The sequence below is a fragment of the Homo sapiens genome, chromosome 3 (genome assembly GCF_000001405.40).
Source record: "Homo sapiens chromosome 3, GRCh38.p14 Primary Assembly".
Lineage (NCBI taxonomy): Eukaryota > Metazoa > Chordata > Mammalia > Primates > Hominidae > Homo > Homo sapiens.
In genome coordinates, this window is record NC_000003.12 from 196,504,177 (window position 1) to 196,522,625 (window position 18,449).

General features: G+C 44.7%; 1 protein-coding gene and 1 long non-coding RNA gene across 5 annotated transcripts, besides 1 other annotated feature; one reads left to right on the plus strand and one right to left on the minus strand.

Moving 5' to 3' along the window:
- LOC105374307 (uncharacterized) lies at nt 1,176–2,716 on the plus strand. Of its 2 annotated transcripts, XR_924897.3 has the most exons (3): nt 1,176–2,035; nt 2,151–2,255; nt 2,626–2,716. It is a non-coding gene; the product is annotated as an uncharacterized LOC105374307 (long non-coding RNA). The 2 variants fall into 2 exon arrangements; XR_007096241.1 differs by lacking the exon at nt 2,626–2,716 and having other exon boundaries at nt 2,151–2,379.
- Nucleotides 2,703–16,779, minus strand: SMCO1 (single-pass membrane protein with coiled-coil domains 1). Of its 3 annotated transcripts, none has more exons than XM_024453435.2 (3): nt 16,355–16,779; nt 5,344–5,493; nt 2,703–4,155 (listed from the first exon to the last, which is right to left on the minus strand). In XM_024453435.2, exons 1-3 carry the CDS (start codon nt 16,396–16,398, stop codon nt 3,711–3,713), a joined length of 639 nt encoding a protein of 212 aa, XP_024309203.1. In that variant the 5' UTR covers nt 16,399–16,779; the 3' UTR covers nt 2,703–3,710. The 3 variants fall into 3 exon arrangements, with proteins under 3 accessions (XP_024309203.1, NP_001071125.1, NP_001307402.1); NM_001077657.3 differs by lacking the exon at nt 16,355–16,779 and adding an exon at nt 10,984–11,170; NM_001320473.2 differs by lacking the exon at nt 16,355–16,779 and adding an exon at nt 10,928–11,170.
- Nucleotides 7,764–8,264: an enhancer, noted in NCBI's record as "H3K27ac hESC enhancer chr3:196238811-196239311 (GRCh37/hg19 assembly coordinates)". NCBI's record gives its function as "activates a minimal SCP1, AML or CMV promoter by ChIP-STARR-seq in naive H9 embryonic stem cells {active_cell/tissue: H9 hESC(naive)}" and the evidence as "EXISTENCE:reporter gene assay evidence [ECO:0000049][PMID:30033119]".
- Nucleotides 16,780–18,449: the final 1,670 nt, after the last annotated feature.

Here is an 18,449-nt window from a genome sequence, read left to right on the forward strand (position 1 = left end):
AATTAGCTGGGCATTGTGACAAGCTCCTGCAATTCCAGCTACTCAGGAGGCTGAGACAGGAGAATCGCTAAACCTGGGAGGCAGAGGCTGCAGTGAGCCGAGATTGTGCCACTGCACTCCAGCCTGGGGGACAGAGCAAAATTCCACCTCAAAAAATACAAATAAATAAATAGATAAAAGAATTGGGGTCTCACTGTTTTATCCAGGCTGGACTACAACTCCAGGGTTCCAGGGATTCTTTCGCCTCAGCCTCTGGAGTAGCTGGGTCTAGAGCTTGCAACTCCATAGCCAGCTCCGGACCTGCATTTTTTGAGGGAATCAATCAGTGTGAAGGAAGAGAAAAGAAAATCACTGTGCGTGAAAGCAGCCTTTAAGTTGTTTTGAGGCTGCTGAGAGCATTCAGGCTGGGTAGGGGATGGTTTCCAGGTTGAGAACAACGAGGAGACATCGGTCGTTGGTAGAAGTCTTTGGGAACTTTCATTTCAATGTGGGTTCAGAAACCTGTTATTGTCTGTGATAGCTCACACCTGTAGTCCCAGCACTTTGGAAGGCCAAGGCGGGAAGATCAGTGGAGCCCAGGAGTTCAGGTCCAGCCTGGGCAACATAGTGAGACCCTGTCTCTACAAAAAATAAAAAAATTAACTCGGTGTGCTGGCTCACACTTATACTCTCAGCTACTCTGGTGGCTGAGGTGGGAGGATCACTTGAGCCCAGGAGGTCAAGGCTGCAGTGAACAGTGATCGTACCACTGCACCCCAGCCTGGGTGACAGGGCAAGACCCTGTCTCAAAAAAAAGAAAAAAAAAAGAAACCTGGGACTGTCATCTGGTTGTCTACAGTAACAGTACCTTAGCTTGGAATTTCAGGCTTGTTTTTTGTTCGTTTGTTTGTTTTTTTGAGATGGCTCCTCATTCTGTTGCCCAGGTTGGAGTGCAGTGGTTTGATCTCAGCTTACTGCAACCTCCACCTCCTGGGTTCAAGCGATTCTCATGCCTCAGCCTCCCGAGTAGCTGCAATTACAGGCGCGTGCCTTGTAATACCACGTGCATTGTAATACCACGCCTGGCAAATTTTTGTATTCTTAGTAGAGATGGGGTTTCACCATGTTGGCCATGCTGGTCTCGAACTCCTGACCTCAGGTGATCCACCGGCCTTGGCCTTCCAAAGTGCTGGGATTACAGGCGTGAGCCACTGCACCTGGCCTTCAGGCTTCCTAATATGTCCACAACCTGCTTTTCCCATCGAATCTCCCATTATTCTTTTAAACATGCAACTATGATTTATTCTCTGTCATCCAAACGTTTTGCTTTCATGACATTGCTTTCTCGGTTCATCCTAAATGGGTTGCTTTGTGGCTGTGCCTACTTCAAACACCAATTTAATGCAGTTGGGCCAGGCACGGTGGCTCATGCCTGTAATCCCAGCACTTTGGGAGGCCAAGGAGGGCGGATCACAAGGTCAGGAGTTCGAGACCAGCCTGACCAACATGTTGAAACTCAGTCTCTACTAAAAATACAAAAATTAGCTGGGCATGGTGGCAGGTGCCTGTAATCCCAGCTAGTCGGGAGGCTGAGGCAGAAGAATTGCTTGAACCCGGGAGGCAGAGGTTGCAGTGAGGCCAGATTGCACCACTGCACTCCAGCCTGGGTTGACAGAGCAAGACTCCGTCTCGAAAAAAAAAAAAATTAATTCACTTCTTCCAGAGTGCACTTTTATGTGCAATTTAATGCACTCCCCACCACCAGTAATGCCCCTTTTCTAAACTCACCCAGTCATATATTGCCCAGTGATACTGATTTTTATTGCAGTTTTACTATTGAACTCCTGTATTTTGATTTCTATCTTCAGGTGCTTATGTCTTGTGTAATGGATATATTTCATGTACTTCCTCAGATTTCCTTCACTTTGTTTGCTTTCTGTACCCATAATCACTTGCTCTTTTTGGGGCTCACCAGTTGCATTTCCGGAATCTCTGGCTTCTCCTGCCACTTCTGAACAATGCAGGAGCTGACTTCTCAGAGGCTGCTAGGGCCTCGGTAATGCATGCTGGGAGGGTGGGGGGGTCACTCCCCATGGAGTAACTTTCACCAATTGAAACCAGTGGACTGACCGAGCACAATACTTAAATTCCCTTTTCTTCTTCCTTCCAAGGATGGTTTCTCCAGTGTGTCTGGAGACAGGCAAGACTGAGGGAGTGTGCCTGCTGAAAAAGCTGCTGTGTCTCTTGTGGCTCATTTTCAAGGAGGGGACAGCAAGGTAACACATCACCATGTATTACTTCACATCCTTCTCTACCTAACTTCCTTCCAGCTTTCTTCACTCTGGCTGTCCTGAATTTGTACCTCCCAAATAAAGCATCGGCACTTAATCTTTACCTCGAGGGCAGGATCCACATTTTTAATGTTTCTGTTATCCACAGTACCTAGTACATGGCATTTGGTATTCGATAAATATTATAAATAAATGGTCAAGATGTAAGAATCTCCTTTCTGGTATAAATAACTATGGTACTTCATTAGAGAACAAATACACATTAAGATACAATTTATAGGATCTCATGATGTATATTTTAGGTGTTTTTGTTTTAATTTATGAAAATAGAGATGAGGTCTCACTATTGTTACAGCTCTTACTCCCGAATTTGATGAGTTCTGAGTTGTTGTCCCATGACTGAGAAGAATGAGGTACACGGACACTGGAGAGTGAGTAAGGCAAAGTAGAATTTATTGAGTGACAGAACGGCTCTTGGCAGTGAGAGGGGACCCGAAGGTGGGTTGCTGGCCACGAGCCTGAGTCTATGGGTTTTTGTGGGCTAGAAATGGGCAAGTGCATGCTGATTGGTCTGTGGCTATGCTTGACAAAGCACCATTCAGAAATAGGCACGATAGTGTAGAGGACCAATCGCGGAAGGGTAGGTATGTATAAAATAGGTGAAGGGTAAGGACCAATCAGGAGAGAGGGTGCCAGACGAGAATGGGAGCTCTCAGTCTGGCTCATGGATTTATCCAGAACTCATAGCTTGGTTTTCAGGCTTTAGACTGTCCTTGGCTTGAAGGTTGAGTTTCACCAGGGACCCCTCCCTGTCTGCCTAGGAATTTACCTGCCTCCTATTGCTATCACTGTGTTGCCCAGGCTGGTCTGAAACCCCTGAGCTCAAGTGATCCTCCTACCTTGGCCTCCTAAGGTGCTTGGATTATAGGCATGAGCCACCATGTCCGGCCTTGTTTATTTTTTAAATAGGTAATACATTCACATGGTTCAAAATTGAAAATGTAAAAAATGGATTAACAGTGAAAAGACTTCCTCTTGTCTTTGACCCCTAGCCTCTTAGCTTTCTTTCCTGACAACTAATGTTATCACTGTCTTGTGTATCTCTGCAGAAGAAGTTTATGGATATGTAAACTAATATGTGTTATATATATATTTATATATATATATTTGTCACCTTTTTTCCACTTAGCAATGTATATTGGAAATAAACATTTGAAAACAACAATACATTTGGTGATCACTTCATATCATTACACAAAGAGCTTCTTCATTCTTTTATATGGCTGCAAAGAAAGTATCTATTGTATCAATTTGTCATAATTTATTTAACATCCTCTCACTCTTTGCTATAAAAATAAGACTATAATAAATTGTGCATACTTTTTGCTGTTTCCAAGATAAATTACTGTAGGTGGAATCACTGGGTCATAGGGTAACAGGTTAGTTTTTGACAGATGGTATCAACTCTTCGAGGGATGACTTTTGCTTTTCAGGGGTCCTAACTGCTTTCCCCTTCTCAATTACCTGCACAGCCCTCAGCAAACTGTCCTGCAGAGCCTGGTTCTTTACCATGTTAGTAATTAGGAACGTGACATCCCTGATGTACATCTGCCTCACTTTAGCAGTATAGTGTTCTGCCTTGTTACCACGTGCAATAAAGAAGGTACAAAGTGCTGTGATGTCTCCTTCTTGCAGCCCACACTCCTCCAGTATGGACTCCCATACAACTCTAACGCGCTTGTTCTTAACTTTTCTTCTGAGTACAGAGGCTAAGGTTGGAAGACCTCTCACCAGGTCTGGCAGCTTCTCAAGCACACGAGTATGCAAGCAGATAAGTACTTCAATGACGTAGCTGTATAAAATATTCAATTCCATTGAAGTGAGCCTACAAAAAATATGGAGAGCTTCTTAAGCGGTCAAAAATATTTTATATAGAAACAGAAAATGAATTCTTTTAGGATAACTCAATATGAACCCACTAGGAGAACCAGCTGTTGTAATTTAGAAAATATTTACTTTAGAATTTAAATTCAAATTCAAATACTTACATTTTATTTTTTTTTAAGAGACAGGGTCTCACTTTGTTGCCCAGGCTGTTCTCAAACTCCTGAGCTCAAGTGATCCTGTCGCCTCGGCTTCCCAGAGTGCTGGGATTAAAGGCGTGAGCCATCATGCCCAGCCAGTACTCACTTTAGAATTAATGCAGATAGGCTGGGCGTGGTGCTCACGCCTGTAATCCCAGCACTGTGGGAGGACGAGGTGGTTGGATCACCTGAGGTCAGGAGTTTGAGACCAGCCTGGCCAACATGGTGAAACCCCGTCTCTACTAAAAATACAAAAATTAGCTGGGCATGGTGGCGGGCGCCTGTAATCCCAGCTACTCGGGAGGCTGAGGCAGGAGAATGGCGTGAACCCAGGAAGTGGAGCTTGCAGGGAGCCAAGATTGCCCCACTGCACTCCAGCCTGGGTGACAGAGTGAGACTCCATCTCAAAAAAAAAAAAAAAAAGAAAAAAAAATTAATGCAAATAAGGCTTTGGCAAGCAAGAGACTTTGTGATGAGATGTGTACTATAGTGCCTGGCATATAAAGAGATGCTCAAATTAATCTTTTTTTTTTCTTTGAGACGGAGTCTCGCTTTGTCACCCAGGCTGGAGTGCAGTGGTGAGATCTCGGCTCACTGCAAGCTCCGCCTCCCGGGTTCACGCCATTCTCCTGCCTCAGCCTCCCGAGTAGTTGGGACTACAGGTGCCTGCCACCACACCCGGCTAATTTTTTTTTTTTTTTTTTTTTGTATTTTTAGTAGAGGCAGGGTTTCACTGTGTCAGCCAGGGTGGTCTCGATCTCCTGACCTCGTGATCCGCCCGCCTCGGCCTCCCAAAGTGCTGGGATTACAGGTGTGAGCCACTGTGCCCGGCCAAATTAATCTTTTTTTAAAAAAATAAATGAACCTAAGAAAATGTAATTGCTTTACAATCCATTGTGGGAAACATACTAAGAAATTCAATTTTGCAATGACCAGTGGAAGCTCTCACAAAGCCACAGAATCCCACTGATTTCTCAATTGATACTCACTGGAGTGCCCGAACTGCTGTCCACATCTCATCTTGGGCTGCTTGGCTTGCCAAAGCCTTACTATGATGTTCGAATTTCTGCATCAGGTTATCCTTGGTGAAGTCTAGTTCTTTGAACTGTGTTTCTAACGCTTGGAGTTTGTGGTCTACTCTGTAGGATAACAGAATCAAGGGTTAGTTTAGGTTACAGGACAAAACTAAGGTTTTGATTTAAGCTGAGGCTCTAATACATTATTTACAACCATTACCAAATTTGGATAACTTTTTTTTTTTTACTTTTACTTTAAACTATGAAGGGAAAATGGGTAGCTATTTGAATTTGAAAGTTTCAACAAATGGCTCCATTTGCCATTCCCTCTAGCCATCATCCTTGTCCTTTCATTCCATATATTGCAAACTTTTGAATTGTCTAATTATTTGAATTGCCTGTCGTGTCTTGTTTTTGTATTATACCTTATACTTTATGTATTTATTTATTTTCTAATACAGAGTCTCACTCTGTCACCCAAACCGGAGTGCAGTGGCACAATCACTACCTCCCAGGCTCAAGTGATCTTCCCACCTCAGCCTCCCGAGTAGCTAGGACTACAGTTGTGTGCCACCATACCTGGCTAATTTTTAAAAAATATTTTTTGTAGAGACCAGGTATTGCTATGTTTGGCTGGTCTTCAACACCTGGGCTCCAGTGATCCACCTGTCTTAGCCTCCCAAAGTACTGGGATTACAGCCATGAGCCACCATGCCCGGGCTATACCTTACGATTTAGAGAATATTTTATGTAAGCATTACTTTGGTGTTCACAGCAACCATAAAAAGTAAAGCAGTCATTTTTACTATTTTACTATTAAAGAAATTGAGTCTCAAGAGGATTGAGACCTAATGTCATAAAGTTAGCTAGTGCTGAGACCAGTATATAATCTGGATCTCCTCGGCAGGAAAGTCAAGGGCCTTCACCCTTTGCTCCTATCTTCCGCCAGTCCCCTCACCCATCCTAGTCACCAATTACATGAGACATCTAGTTGCTGCTTGAATACATTATGTGGTTCCAAGCTTACATATGGCTTATACCCTATTTTCTACCCGATTCTAATTGTCCAACTCTTATCCTTTCTTCCAGAATCAGCTCAAATCCACTGCCTTTTTGAATCCCCATCTACCTGGTGATCTCCTTGCCCCCCTGCGTCTCGCTTACAAGCACTGCCTCTGTGGACCCATCTCCCGCCTCCTGCTTTACTATTAGGGTTAGCCTTTCATGAACTAAACTACGTTCTTGGAGGGAAGGAATCAGAGACTATTTCTTAGATACCTTTATGTCTGTCCCCCAATACCCAGCAAAGGTCTTGCACAGTAATAAAAGTTTCCCTGTATGATTGACATCTTTGATGAGAATGAAATGCTGAGTTCTGTAACCCAAAATGGGGATTTGAGTAGCTCCGAACAGCCATGATCATCAGAGGCTGCTGTGGCACCAGCATTATGTCTAATTAACCACAAAGACTGGAGCAACACAATTCACTTGCCTGAGCCACCTAGATTGTCCTTATGAGGGAAACTTGCCTGGGCCACCTAGATTGTCATTATGAGGGAAATTTGCCTGGGCCACCTAGATTGTCTTTATGAGGGAAACTTGCCTGAGCCACCTAGATTGTCCTTATGAGGGAAACCTGCCTGGGCCACCTAGATTGTCTTTATGAGGGAAACTTGCCTGAGCCACCTAGATTGTCCTTATGAGGGAAACCTGCCTGGGCCACCTAGATTGTCCTTATGAGGGAAACTTGCCTGGGCCACCTAGATTGTCTTTATGAGGGAAACTTGCCTGCGCCAAGTAGATTGTTGTTATGAGGGAAACCTGCCTGGGCCACCTAGATTGTCCTTATGAGGGAAACCTGCCTGGGCCACCTAGATTGTCCTTATGAGGGAAACCTGCCTGAGCCACCTAGATTCTCATTATGAGGGAAACCTGCCTGGGCCACCTAGATTGTCCTTATGAGGGAAACCTGCCTGGGCCACCTAGATTGTCCTTATGAGGGAAACCTGCCTGGGCCACCTAGATTGTCCTTATGAGGGAAACCTGCCTGGGCCACCTAGATTGTCCTTATGAGGGAAACCTGCCTGGGCCGCCTAGATTGTCCTTATGAGGGAAACCTGCCTGGGCCGCCTAGATTGTCCTTATGAGGGAAACCTGCCTGGGCCGCCTAGATTGTCCTTATGAGGGAAACCTGCCTGGGCCGCCTAGATTGTCCTTATGAGGGAAACCTGCCTGGGCCGCCTAGATTGTCGTTATGAGGGAAACCTGCCTGGGCCGCCTAGATTGTTGTTATGAGGGAAACCTGCCTGGGCTGCCTAGATTGTCTTTATGAGGGAAACTTGCCTGCGCCAAGTAGATTGTTGTTATGAGGGAAACCTGCCTGGGCCACCTAGATTGTCCTTATGAGGGAAACTTGCCTGAGCCACCTAGATTGTTGTTATGAGGGAAACCTGCCTCGGCCACCTACATTGTCCTTATGAGGGAAACTTGCCTGGGCTGCCTAGATTGTCCTTATGAGGGAAACCTGCCTGGGCCACCTAGATTGTCGTTATGAGGGAAACCTGCCTGAGCCACCTAGATTGTGGTTATGAGGGAAACTTGCCTGAGCCATGTAGATTGTGGTTATGAGGGAAACTTGCCTGGGCCGCCTAGATTGTGGTTATGAGAGAAACTTGCCTGGGCCGCCTAGATTGTCGTTATGAGGGAAACTTGCCTGGGCCAAGTAGATTGTTGTTATGAGGGAAACATGCCTGGGCCACCTAGATTGTCGTTATGAGGGAAGTGATGCGTCAACACACATGCTACTTCTCTGAGCTTCCGTATCTCCAGTGACCTGAATACCTTTGTGACTGCCCAGCATTCTATGCTTGATCATCTTTTATTCTTGGTCCTAAATTTCTCCCTAGGCTAATTCACCTTCAGGTACTACATCTCTCCTAAGCTTTAAACCTGTATTTCCTTTCTTTTTTTTTTTTTTTTTTTTTGAGATGGAGTCTTGCTCTGTCGCCAGGCTGGAGTACAGTGGCACGATCCTGGCTCACTGCAACCTCTGTCTCCCAGGTTCAAGTGATTCTCCTGCCTCAGTCTCCCGAGTAGCTGGGATTACAGGCGCCACCACATCCGGCTAATTTTTGTATTTTTAGTAGAGATGGGGTTTCACCATGTTGGCCAGGCTGGTCTCGAACTCCTGACCTCAGGCGATCCGCCCACCTCGGCCTCCCAAAGTTCTGGGATTACAGGCGTGAGCCACCGCACCCGGCCTAGAGATGTATTTTCAATATGTTTTGTGCATCTCCACAAAGATGGAGATGTCAAACTCAACTCTCCTAAGCTTAACCTACTAATACCTCCCCCATCTTCAGAAATTACTATGAAGAAATGTTGTCACTGCTTTACACATAGATAAGACTCAGTATAAAATGTTCATTTTGTAGGAATAGAAGCCTGTGTGACCTGATATGCCTGTAATTTCTGTCTACAAGTCAAAACCATGTGATTTGAGCTAGGTGCAGTGGCTCACAACTGTAATCACAGCAGTTTGGGAGGCCAAGGTGGGTGGATCACTTGAGTCCAGGAGTTTGAGACCAGCTTGGGCAACATAGTGAGACCTCATCTCTACAAAAAATAAAAAATTAGCCTAGTGTGGTGGTGTGCACACTTGTGGTCCCAGCTACTGGGGAAGCTGAGGTATGAGAATTGCTTCAGCCCAGGAGTTCAAAGCTGCAGTGAGCTGTGATCATGCCACTGCACTCAGCTTGAGCAACACAGCAAGACCCTGTGTCAAAAAAAAAAAAAGAAAGTTGGCCGGGTGCAGTGGCTCACGCCTGTAATCCCAGCCATTTGGGAGGCCAAGGCAGGTGGATCATGAGGTCAAGAGATCGAGACCATCCTGGCCAACATGGTAAAACCCCTTCTTTACTAAAAATACAAAAATTAGCCGGGTGTGGTGATGCACACCTGTAGTCCCAGTTACTCAGGAGGCTGAGGCAGGAGAATCACTTGAACCTGGGAGGCGGAGGTTGCAGTGAGCTGAAATCGCGCCACTGCACTCCAGCCTGGTGACAGAGTGAGACTCTGTCTCAAAAAAAAAAAAAAAAAAAAAGCCATTTGGCATACTATTTTGTGTTAACTTTTAGACCTTTAAGACTATATTGCTTATAGGTCATCTGTAGTTTGAAACTTAGGGAAGAAGTCTAGCTTGTCAATCAGTATAAAAATTTACAGTTGCAGCAGTTCTTTGGAATCCTCTCACCAAAGGACAGTCCGAGGCCGTTCCAGATAAATCTCAACCAACATGCAAATCTCAGCGCAGGCTGTTTTGTTTTGTTTTAGTACAGTTCCCTAGTTTCGTTAATGACCTCACCATCCAATCAATTGCTTGAACTAGAAATCTCAGAATAATTCTCAACTTTTTTCTTCCCCTGATTTATGTCTCTCTAACCCATTCCTGCCTCTCCATCTCCATCAAATGAGTTTCTCATCATCTTTCACTAGGACCCAAGATTACCGTAGCCTAACTGGACCCCCGTTTTCCATTTCCCATCCATCCTCCAGACACATTCTTCTAAAACACAATTCCGATTCTGTGACTCAACTGATTACAAATGGTTTATGTCATCCTGGCTTGCCCAGTGATATACTCAGAGGCAAACTGGATCTCCTCAGCAGGAAAGTCAAGGGCCTTCACCCTTTGCTCCTGTCTTCCACCAGTCCCCTCACCCATCCTAGTTACCAATTACACGAGACATCTAGTTGCTGCTTGAATACATTATGTGGTTCCAAGCTTACATATGGCTTATATGCACTGTTTCCTCAGCCTAGAATGCCTTCCCATATTTTTCTCCCTCATAAGCTCCTACTTGCACTTTAAGATCCAGCTTAAATGACCCTATATGAAGAGTTCCTTTTTCTAGTGTCAAAGGCAAAATTGGTTGATCCTCCCTTCATGTTCGCATAGACCTTTAGGAACATCACCATTGTAAGGTCAGTCACATTAAATTGTAAATGTTTTTCAAACTTTTCTCTTTCCTACAGGCTGTGAGCTCCTTGAGGGCAGAAACCACATTTTACTTATTTTTGTAAATCTAGGATTTAGCATATGCATACATTCAATGGAGTTACAGCACCTGGGAGCAGACTTTTCTTTATTGTTAATTTACATAGGTTTGGGCCTGGAAGACTTAAACCACTGTAATAGAGACGGAATTCTTTTTTTGGACGGAGTCTTGCTCTGTTGCCAGGCTGGAGTGCAGTGGCACGATCTCGGCTCACTGCAACCTCCACCTCCCGGGTTCAAGTGATTCTCCTGCCTCAGCCTCCCAAGTAGCTGGGACTACAGGCGCCCGCCACCATGCCTGGGTAATTTTTGTATTTTTAGTAGAGGCAGGGTTTCACCATGTTCGCCAGGCTGGTCTCAATCTCTTGACCCTGTGATCCGCCCACCTCGGCCTCCCAGTGTGCTGGGATTACAGGTGTGAGCCACCGCACCGGCCACAGAGACAGAATTCTAATGAGCATGTCTGCAGTTCTTTATTTCTATTCTTCATTCTTCTCTTACCCATCTTCCCAGAATAGCAGACCCATGCTTGCTCCCTCCCTATAGCCCTCAGCAACCTTTTCATTGCCTCCTTCAAGGATATCAGGGTTGTGGTTTCATTGTTCATCTTCTGAAGGCAAAAGGAAAGAAAACAAAAACAAAGCAAAACAAAAAAAGCAATAAATGTTTGAATCCAGAATTTTCTGCGGTCTTCCTCTCAGCAACAGGCAGCAGTAGCAGGAGCGCTCAGTCTACATTCTGCCTGAAAGGTCACTCAGTACAAGAAGCTTTTAATAGCCTGCAGATCCAAATATAGTTTCAAAGAACTTATCTCGTGGACACAGGTGTCCTGGAATGCACTATAACATTTGCCTTTGAAAACTGAACCATAGTACATTAACATACAGCAACAACCATGTATAATTAATGACTGTGTACATTATGGTAAATGTATATACAGATACATTAACGTAACGTATAGGATTAAGTTTGATGGAAATATTACTGTCATATTTTAACTGCTTCATTATTCAATTACAACCTAAATTAGGTTTGAAGAGTGCCCCAGATCTTTTATGATGATGATATCAAAGCAAAAAATCTAACTATCATTAGAAACTACTAAATACTTGTTATGGCTGGGTATGGTGGCTCACTCCTGTAATCCCAGCACTTGGGGAAGCCAAGGTGGGAGGATTGCTTGAGCCCAGGAATTCAAGACCAGCCTGGGCCACAGAGCGAGACTGTCTCCACAAAAAATACAAAAATTAGCCAGGAGTGGTGGTGCATGCCTGTAGTCCCAGCTACTCAAGAGGCTGAAGTGGGAGGACTGCTTGAGCCCAGGAGTTCGAAGCTGCAGTGAGCTATGATCATGCCACTGCACTCCAGCCCGGGCAAGAGGATAGGATATATATATATATATATATATATATATATATATATATATATAATTATATATAAAATTATACATATAATTATATATAATATATAATTTATATCGTATATAAAATATATATATAATTTTATATAATTATATATATATTAGATTAGGAATTGAATATAAATGTGGAAATAAAATAGGACTGCTGTTTTCATGAGATTTAAAATCTAGTTGGGAAGAAAGAATATATCCTTAAATAGAAAATGTATATGGGATGTGTGCTAAGTAGATAGAGACCATAAAAATAATAGAAGGTGAGAGACTAAGTCACTGAAATCTTGGGTCCTTGGGGAGATATTCACCCTGAAGGTGGTACTTGGCTTGGCCTTAAAGGTCAAGGTCTTTGATTATCAGAGAAGAGTGTTAAGGGTGTTACGAACTGGAGAAATTGTGTGAGCAAAATCACAGAGGTGGCAAAGTAAATGATGTGTTCAGGAAACAATGAGTAGGTATGTTTTGAGCAAAAGATTCATATAAGAAAAAGAAAATAACCACACCATTTAAACTGGTAAGAGCCATGTCACGTATTTGTTCTTTCACTGAATACTTTATTCACTTATTCAATATTTACTGAGCATCATAGATATTAATTGAATGTATAAAACCTACGAATGGATGAGCAGCACTATTCCAGGCACTGGTAATATAGTGATAAGTAAGGCGAAATCCTTGTCCTCAAGGAACATACTAGCAGGGAGACAGCACATAAGGCTTATAAGAGAGGGGATGCTTCTAGCTAGCTTGGTAAGGAGTTTGGACAGATGTGAGCTGTTGGTTCTAGAAGATTAATCTAGGCTCAGGTGCAGTGGCTCTCACCTGTAATCCCAACATTTTGGGAGGCTGAGGTGGGTAGATCACTTGAGGTCAGGAATTCGAGACCAGCTTGGCCAACATGGCAAAAACCCATCTCTACTAAAAATACAAAAATTAGCTGGGCATGGTGGCACACACCTGTAGTCCCAGCTACTTGGGAGTCTGAGATAGGAGAATCGCTCAAACCCGGGAGGTGGAGGTTGCAGTGAGCAGAAATAGCAATTGCGCCACTGCACTCCAGCCTGGGTGACACAGCGAGACTCCATCGCAAAAAAAAAAAAAAAAAAAAAAAAAAAAAGATTAATCTAGCAGTGATATTGTAGTATAATATGAAATATATTTGGTCTTCGTCCCCATTTCAGCCACAAAGCTCCTAAAACCCTTGGAATTTCCTGAGTGATAGGAGTGTCTTTTTTTATTCATAATGAGCCCCTTTTGATCACATGTGAGTTTATGCTAATGAGGTGATTTAGGGTGGTGCAACTAGAATAGCCTCCAGATGGGGCTGGTCACTAGAAAGACCAGGTGATTCTAAGTTGGAACTTTCAGCCCCCACCCACCAACCTCTAGGAAATGAAATGAGTGAGCTGGAGATTAAGTTCCATAAAAATTCTTGGACAATGAGGTTTGATGAGCTTCTGGGTTGCCAAATATAAGGAAGCGCTGGTGGGATGGTGCTGGGGAGAGGGTGTGGAAGCTCTACAGCACCCTCCACCATATCTTCCTCTATGCATCTCTAACAGCACCCCCCCATACCTTTCCCTATACATATCTAACAGCACCCCCCTGTGCCTTCCCCTATGCATCACTAAAACTGCCTGTTCATCTGAATTCTATTTATTTTATTTTCTTGAGATGGACTCTCACTCTGTTGCCCAGGCTGGAGTGCAGTGGCATGATCTGGGCTCACTGCAACCTCTGCCTCCCAGGTTCAAGCAGGTCTCCTGCCTCAGCTCCCCTAGTAGCTGGGATTCCAGGTGTGTGCCACCACTATTACAGGAGTTATTAAAAAATTATTTTAGTCAGCTAGAAAGGGTAAAAGAGTCCTCAGTAATGCTTTTTATTTTAATAAAAAAGCAGCCCCCGCAAACATTTCTTTTCTAACAGAAAGTGGCTGGAAAAACCAGACCTGCAAGCATTGATTTGCAAGTCACAGGCTTACATATGTAAATGCTGGTGGCTAAGAGCCAGGTTCACCCAATATGGCAGTTCCTGCTGCTTTTTCTTTGTTGCCACATGTGCAGATATCATGGCAGCCAGCCAGGTAGAAGTAACATGTACAGGCATCATGGCAACCAGCCAGGTAGCTGCATTTGCATAATAAAAGGCTAGGGTGGGAGGGCCAGTTTTTTTGTGGGCTACGTGAATGCCACACCTGGTCAAACCAATCCCTTGGGCTCTATGCAAATCAGATGCCACCTCCTCAAGCCTCCTGACATAACCAACTGCTTTCTGCTAAAGGGGGTTATTCCATTTGGAGCCCTCCTCCCATTGTACAGGGGAGCTGTTCTCTTCCTTCTTGCCTACTAAACTTTCCACTCCTTAATCCACTCTACGTGTGTCTATGTTGCTAATTTTCTCGGCATGTGACAAAGGACCCTGGATGTTTCCCCAGACAATGGAGCCATATCACGATGCTCAGCTAGTTTTTGTATTTTTAGTAGAGACGGGGTTTCGCCATGTTGGCCAGGCTGGTCTCTAACTCCTGACCTCAAGTGATCCACCTGCCTCAGCCTCCCAAAGTGCTGGAGACAAAGGACCCTGGCACAAGACAAAGGACCCTGGGTGTTTCCCTAGACAACGTAGCCATGTCATTTTTGGGGGCTCATCCGGAATCCCAAGGTACAACATTCAATGGAGCAGTGAGTAGAGGAGCGGACTCAAAATCTGTCCTTTCATTCCAAGGCTCTTGGTCTCCATTTTAAAATCTAATCAAATCAATAACAAGCATCCATCAGCCAGTTAAAGACACGGTTAGTGTGGCTGCCATTCTTAGAGACTTGGATGTCAGGCTTACTGGGGAGAACATGGAGACCCCCCCAATACCCATGGGTCACTGGGCACGTTGGCCATGCTTCAAATCAGCTTCCTTTCAACAAGGAAACCTAACCATCCCGTGAGGCCAGGAAAAGTTCTTAAGCAATTGAGAATTTCTGGCCAGTGCACACCCTTGTGTTATTCAAATGCTTCTGGACTGGACTCAGCCTCCAATAGCCTGCCCAGGTGTTGGTAAAGGGTCCCCAGCTAGCCTGTTGCAAAATTTCCCTTCTTTTTCTATCTGCGATCACTATGTCTCTTATTTTCTCTGTGTGTCAAATGTGAGGGAATTTTTGCAGCCCAGGGAAGTAATCCTGTTGGGGAAGATCAGGAAATGCTGTAGTAACCATGGATGTAGTTCAGGATCTTGTGATCTTTTAGGAACAGAGGGCCTCCCCTTTCCCACACAGTGAGGTCACTCGCTACTAGTCCTCGTGCGAGCACGTGGTATATTTAAGCCAACAGCGCCACCTCGTGGAAATAGAAATCCCCTCTGTAAGACACGTTGGTCCACTGTAGCTTCCCAATTTTTCCATTTTGCAGCTTTCTTTATGCTGCTTCTGTGAATAGGAAAATTCTGCCCCAACAATTAGGAGTAAAATGTCCTCTGCAGCCAAATTTTAGTCCTGATACTGTCCCATCGGCAGGAAAATCGCCATTAGGTCCTTAAGTCCCTTTAAGGCACCTATTCTGTCTCCAATTAAAACAGTACTTAATTAGTAAGGGGATTTTAAGTCTGGAAGTTAACCTGAACCATTTTCTAAGGGTAAATGCCCTAGTGCGGGCCATAATAGTAGCCAATCCAGCACATTCCCTCCGTTAAAGAAGCCTTGCCTTTTACATAGTTTTTCCCAAGATCCATTTTCCAGGGAGGCACACAGATCACACAAGTCTAGGAAATAAAAGGGGAACCACATGCAGAGAACTAGGATAGCATGGGTAGGCATGACTAATCCCATCTTCTAGTTTCTCTGGTTCCATGGCTTGGAGAGTCACACCTACAACCACGGGCGGCACATTTAACAAGGTGCCAGGACCCAGGAACCAAGGAGGGAAAACAGTCGGGGGGGACGCTCCCACTGTCTTCTTCTCCACCCTGGGTCACACACCAAAAGGAAGGAGACTAAATGGATGGCTTTTTCTCACTTCTCTTTCTAGATGGGAAACAGACCATCTACGACCTGCACTCCTCTCAAGTGCATTCTAAAACGCTGGGACTTCTTCAACCTTGAGACTTTGAAGAAAAAGCACCTCATGTTATATTGCACAAGGGCATGGCCTTCTTACCATCCTGGGGACAGACAAACCCGCTGGAGGGAGCCTTGCTTTTAATATTATCCAAAAATTCGATCTTTTCTGCAGACAGAAGGGCAAATGGTCTGAGGTCCCCTATGTACAGGCTTTCTCTGCCCTGTGAGACAACCCAGATCTTTACAAGTTTTGTACAATGGACTCAGTTCTTTTAGCAGCCATGGCAGGCAAGCCCATAGGTAATAATTCCCCAGAGCTAAAGCAGATTCCAGAGGAGCAATCTGAGACAGCTATTGAATGTCCCAACCCTTCTAGTCCCCCTCATCCAGAACCCCCTCCAATCATGCCATCAGCTCCTCCAGCTCCACCATCTTCAATATCACCCACTTTGCCCACTTCGCTCTTACCTCTGCAGGAAATGCCTGATGGAAATGGTGCTATGAAGCTTCATGTTCCCTTCTCATTACAGGATCTTAAGCAAATAAAGGGAGACAAGCCGATTTTCTGACGACCCCGATAGATATATAGAAACTTTCCAAAATTTAACTCAGGTGTTTGATCTCACGTGTTGCTCCTAAGTCAGACTCTCACCGCTGCTGAAAAGCAGGCAGTTCTTCAGGCAGCAGAAAAATATGGAGATGTGTGGGTGAAGGATTACCTAGGTGCTGAGACAAGAGACTGAAGGCACAAACTGTTTCAGTATAATAAAGAAAATAGTTAGAATAAGAATAGTTATAATACAAATTAGATATAGAGATGATCATGGATATTATCAATAATTAGTATAAACATTGTTAATCATTAGCTCTTAATATTGCTCTTTGTTGTATTACTAATATAGCCAAGGAATAACTGGCAGGTATAGGGTCAGGTGCTGAAGGGACATTGTGAGAAGTGACCTAGAAAGCACGAGGTGAGCCCTCTTGTCAACGCCTGCATAAGGGCCACTTGAGGGGTCCTGGGTCAAGCGGTAATGCCAGTGCCTGGGAAGGCACCCATTACTTAGCAGACTGCAAAAAGGAGTCTCTCTTTCCTTGGAGGAGTCAGGGAACACTCTGCTCCACCAGCTTCTTGTGGGAGGCTGGATATTATCCAGGCCTGCCTGCAGTCATACAGAGGCCTAAACCCCTCACTGTGGTGCTGTGCTTCAATAGTCATGCTCCTTGTCCACTTTCATGTTCCTCCCGTACTCCGGGTTCCTCTTTGAAGTTTGTAGCAGATAGTGGTAGAAGAAAGAGTGAAAGTCTTAAAATCTTTGATCTGTCTTATAAGTGCACAGATGAAAACACTGACGTTTGCTGCCTTCTCTCTCTGCTTCGGCTACCTAAAAGGGAAGGGCCCCCTGTCCCATGATCACGTGACTTGCTTGACCTTATCAATCACTTGGACGACTCACCCTCCTTACCCTGCTCCCTTGTCTTGTATGCAATAAATATCAGCATGCCCAATCATTTGAGGCCACTACGGGTCTTTGCGTCTTGGCGGTAGTGGTCCCCCGGGCCCAGCTGTTTTCTCTTTATCTCTTTGTCTTGTGTCTTTATTTCTTACTATCTTTCGTCTCCGTACATGGGGAGAATACCTGCTAAGCCCTGTGGGGTTGGACCCTACAGAGATAAGCAACATGTCTCCTATAGCAGACCAAAGAGAGAAAAAGGAAATAGGGAAGGTGAACTAAAAATGGAAACTCCATTCCCACTAGGAAGAGAAGCAGTTCTGGCAGACAACCCTCATGGGAACCACAATAGCTCCGTCGATGAATGGAAAACGAAGCACTTTTAATGTGCATATTAGAGGCCTAAAAAAACCAGAGCCAAACCTCTTAATTACTGTAAACTATCTACGATAGACCAAAAACCAGATGAGAATCCCACAGCCTTTATGGAAAGGCTGAGAGAGACACTAACAAAACACACCTCTTTATCCCCTGATTTAGCTGAGGGACAGCTCATCCTGAAGGACAAGTTTATCACACAGGCATCTCCAGATATTAGAAGGAAACTACAGAAGCAATCTATAGGACCAAATAGCACCCAGGAAAACCTCCTGAATATAGCCACTTTGGTCTTTGATAATAGGGATCAGGAGGAGGCCCAAGAAAAAGAGAGGAAGCACAAGAGAAGGACAGAGGCTCTAGTGGCAGCATTGCAAGCTTGCAAAGTCCAGGATCCCCATGGTGCATCCACTAGCTGTTACTGATGTGGCAAGTCAGGGCATTTTAAGAAGGAATGCCCAAACAGCAAGAAGAAGCCAGCTCAACCCTGTCCAGTCTGTGATGGAGACCACTGGAGATTGAACTGCTCCCAGAGATGGAGGTCACTAGGTTCAGAACCAGTCTCACTGATGGTCCAGCAGGACTGATGAGTCCCAGGGCTCAACCCCCTGCTCCAGCAGCTCAAACTGCCATTACAGCACAGGAGCTCCAGGTGTTTCTGGAAATTGAAGGAAGGTAGATCTCCTTCTGGATACTGGAGGCAGGCTCTCTCTTCTCTCTAATCCAGGTCT

Bases quoted from the DNA above. Each gene is read 5' to 3' on its own strand.
- SMCO1 (NM_001077657.3), bottom strand. From the start codon at position 11,033: ATGAACAATGAAACCACAACCCTGATATCCTTGAAGGAGGCAATGAAA. The intron at 5,494-10,983 runs GTTGCTGAGGGC...GTTATCCTACAG, and splicing joins TTGAAGGAGGCAATGAAAAG to AGTAGACCACAAACTCCAAG. The intron at 4,156-5,343 runs GTGAGTATCAAT...TATTTTTTGTAG, and splicing joins ACAGCAGTTCGGGCACTCCA to GCTCACTTCAATGGAATTGA.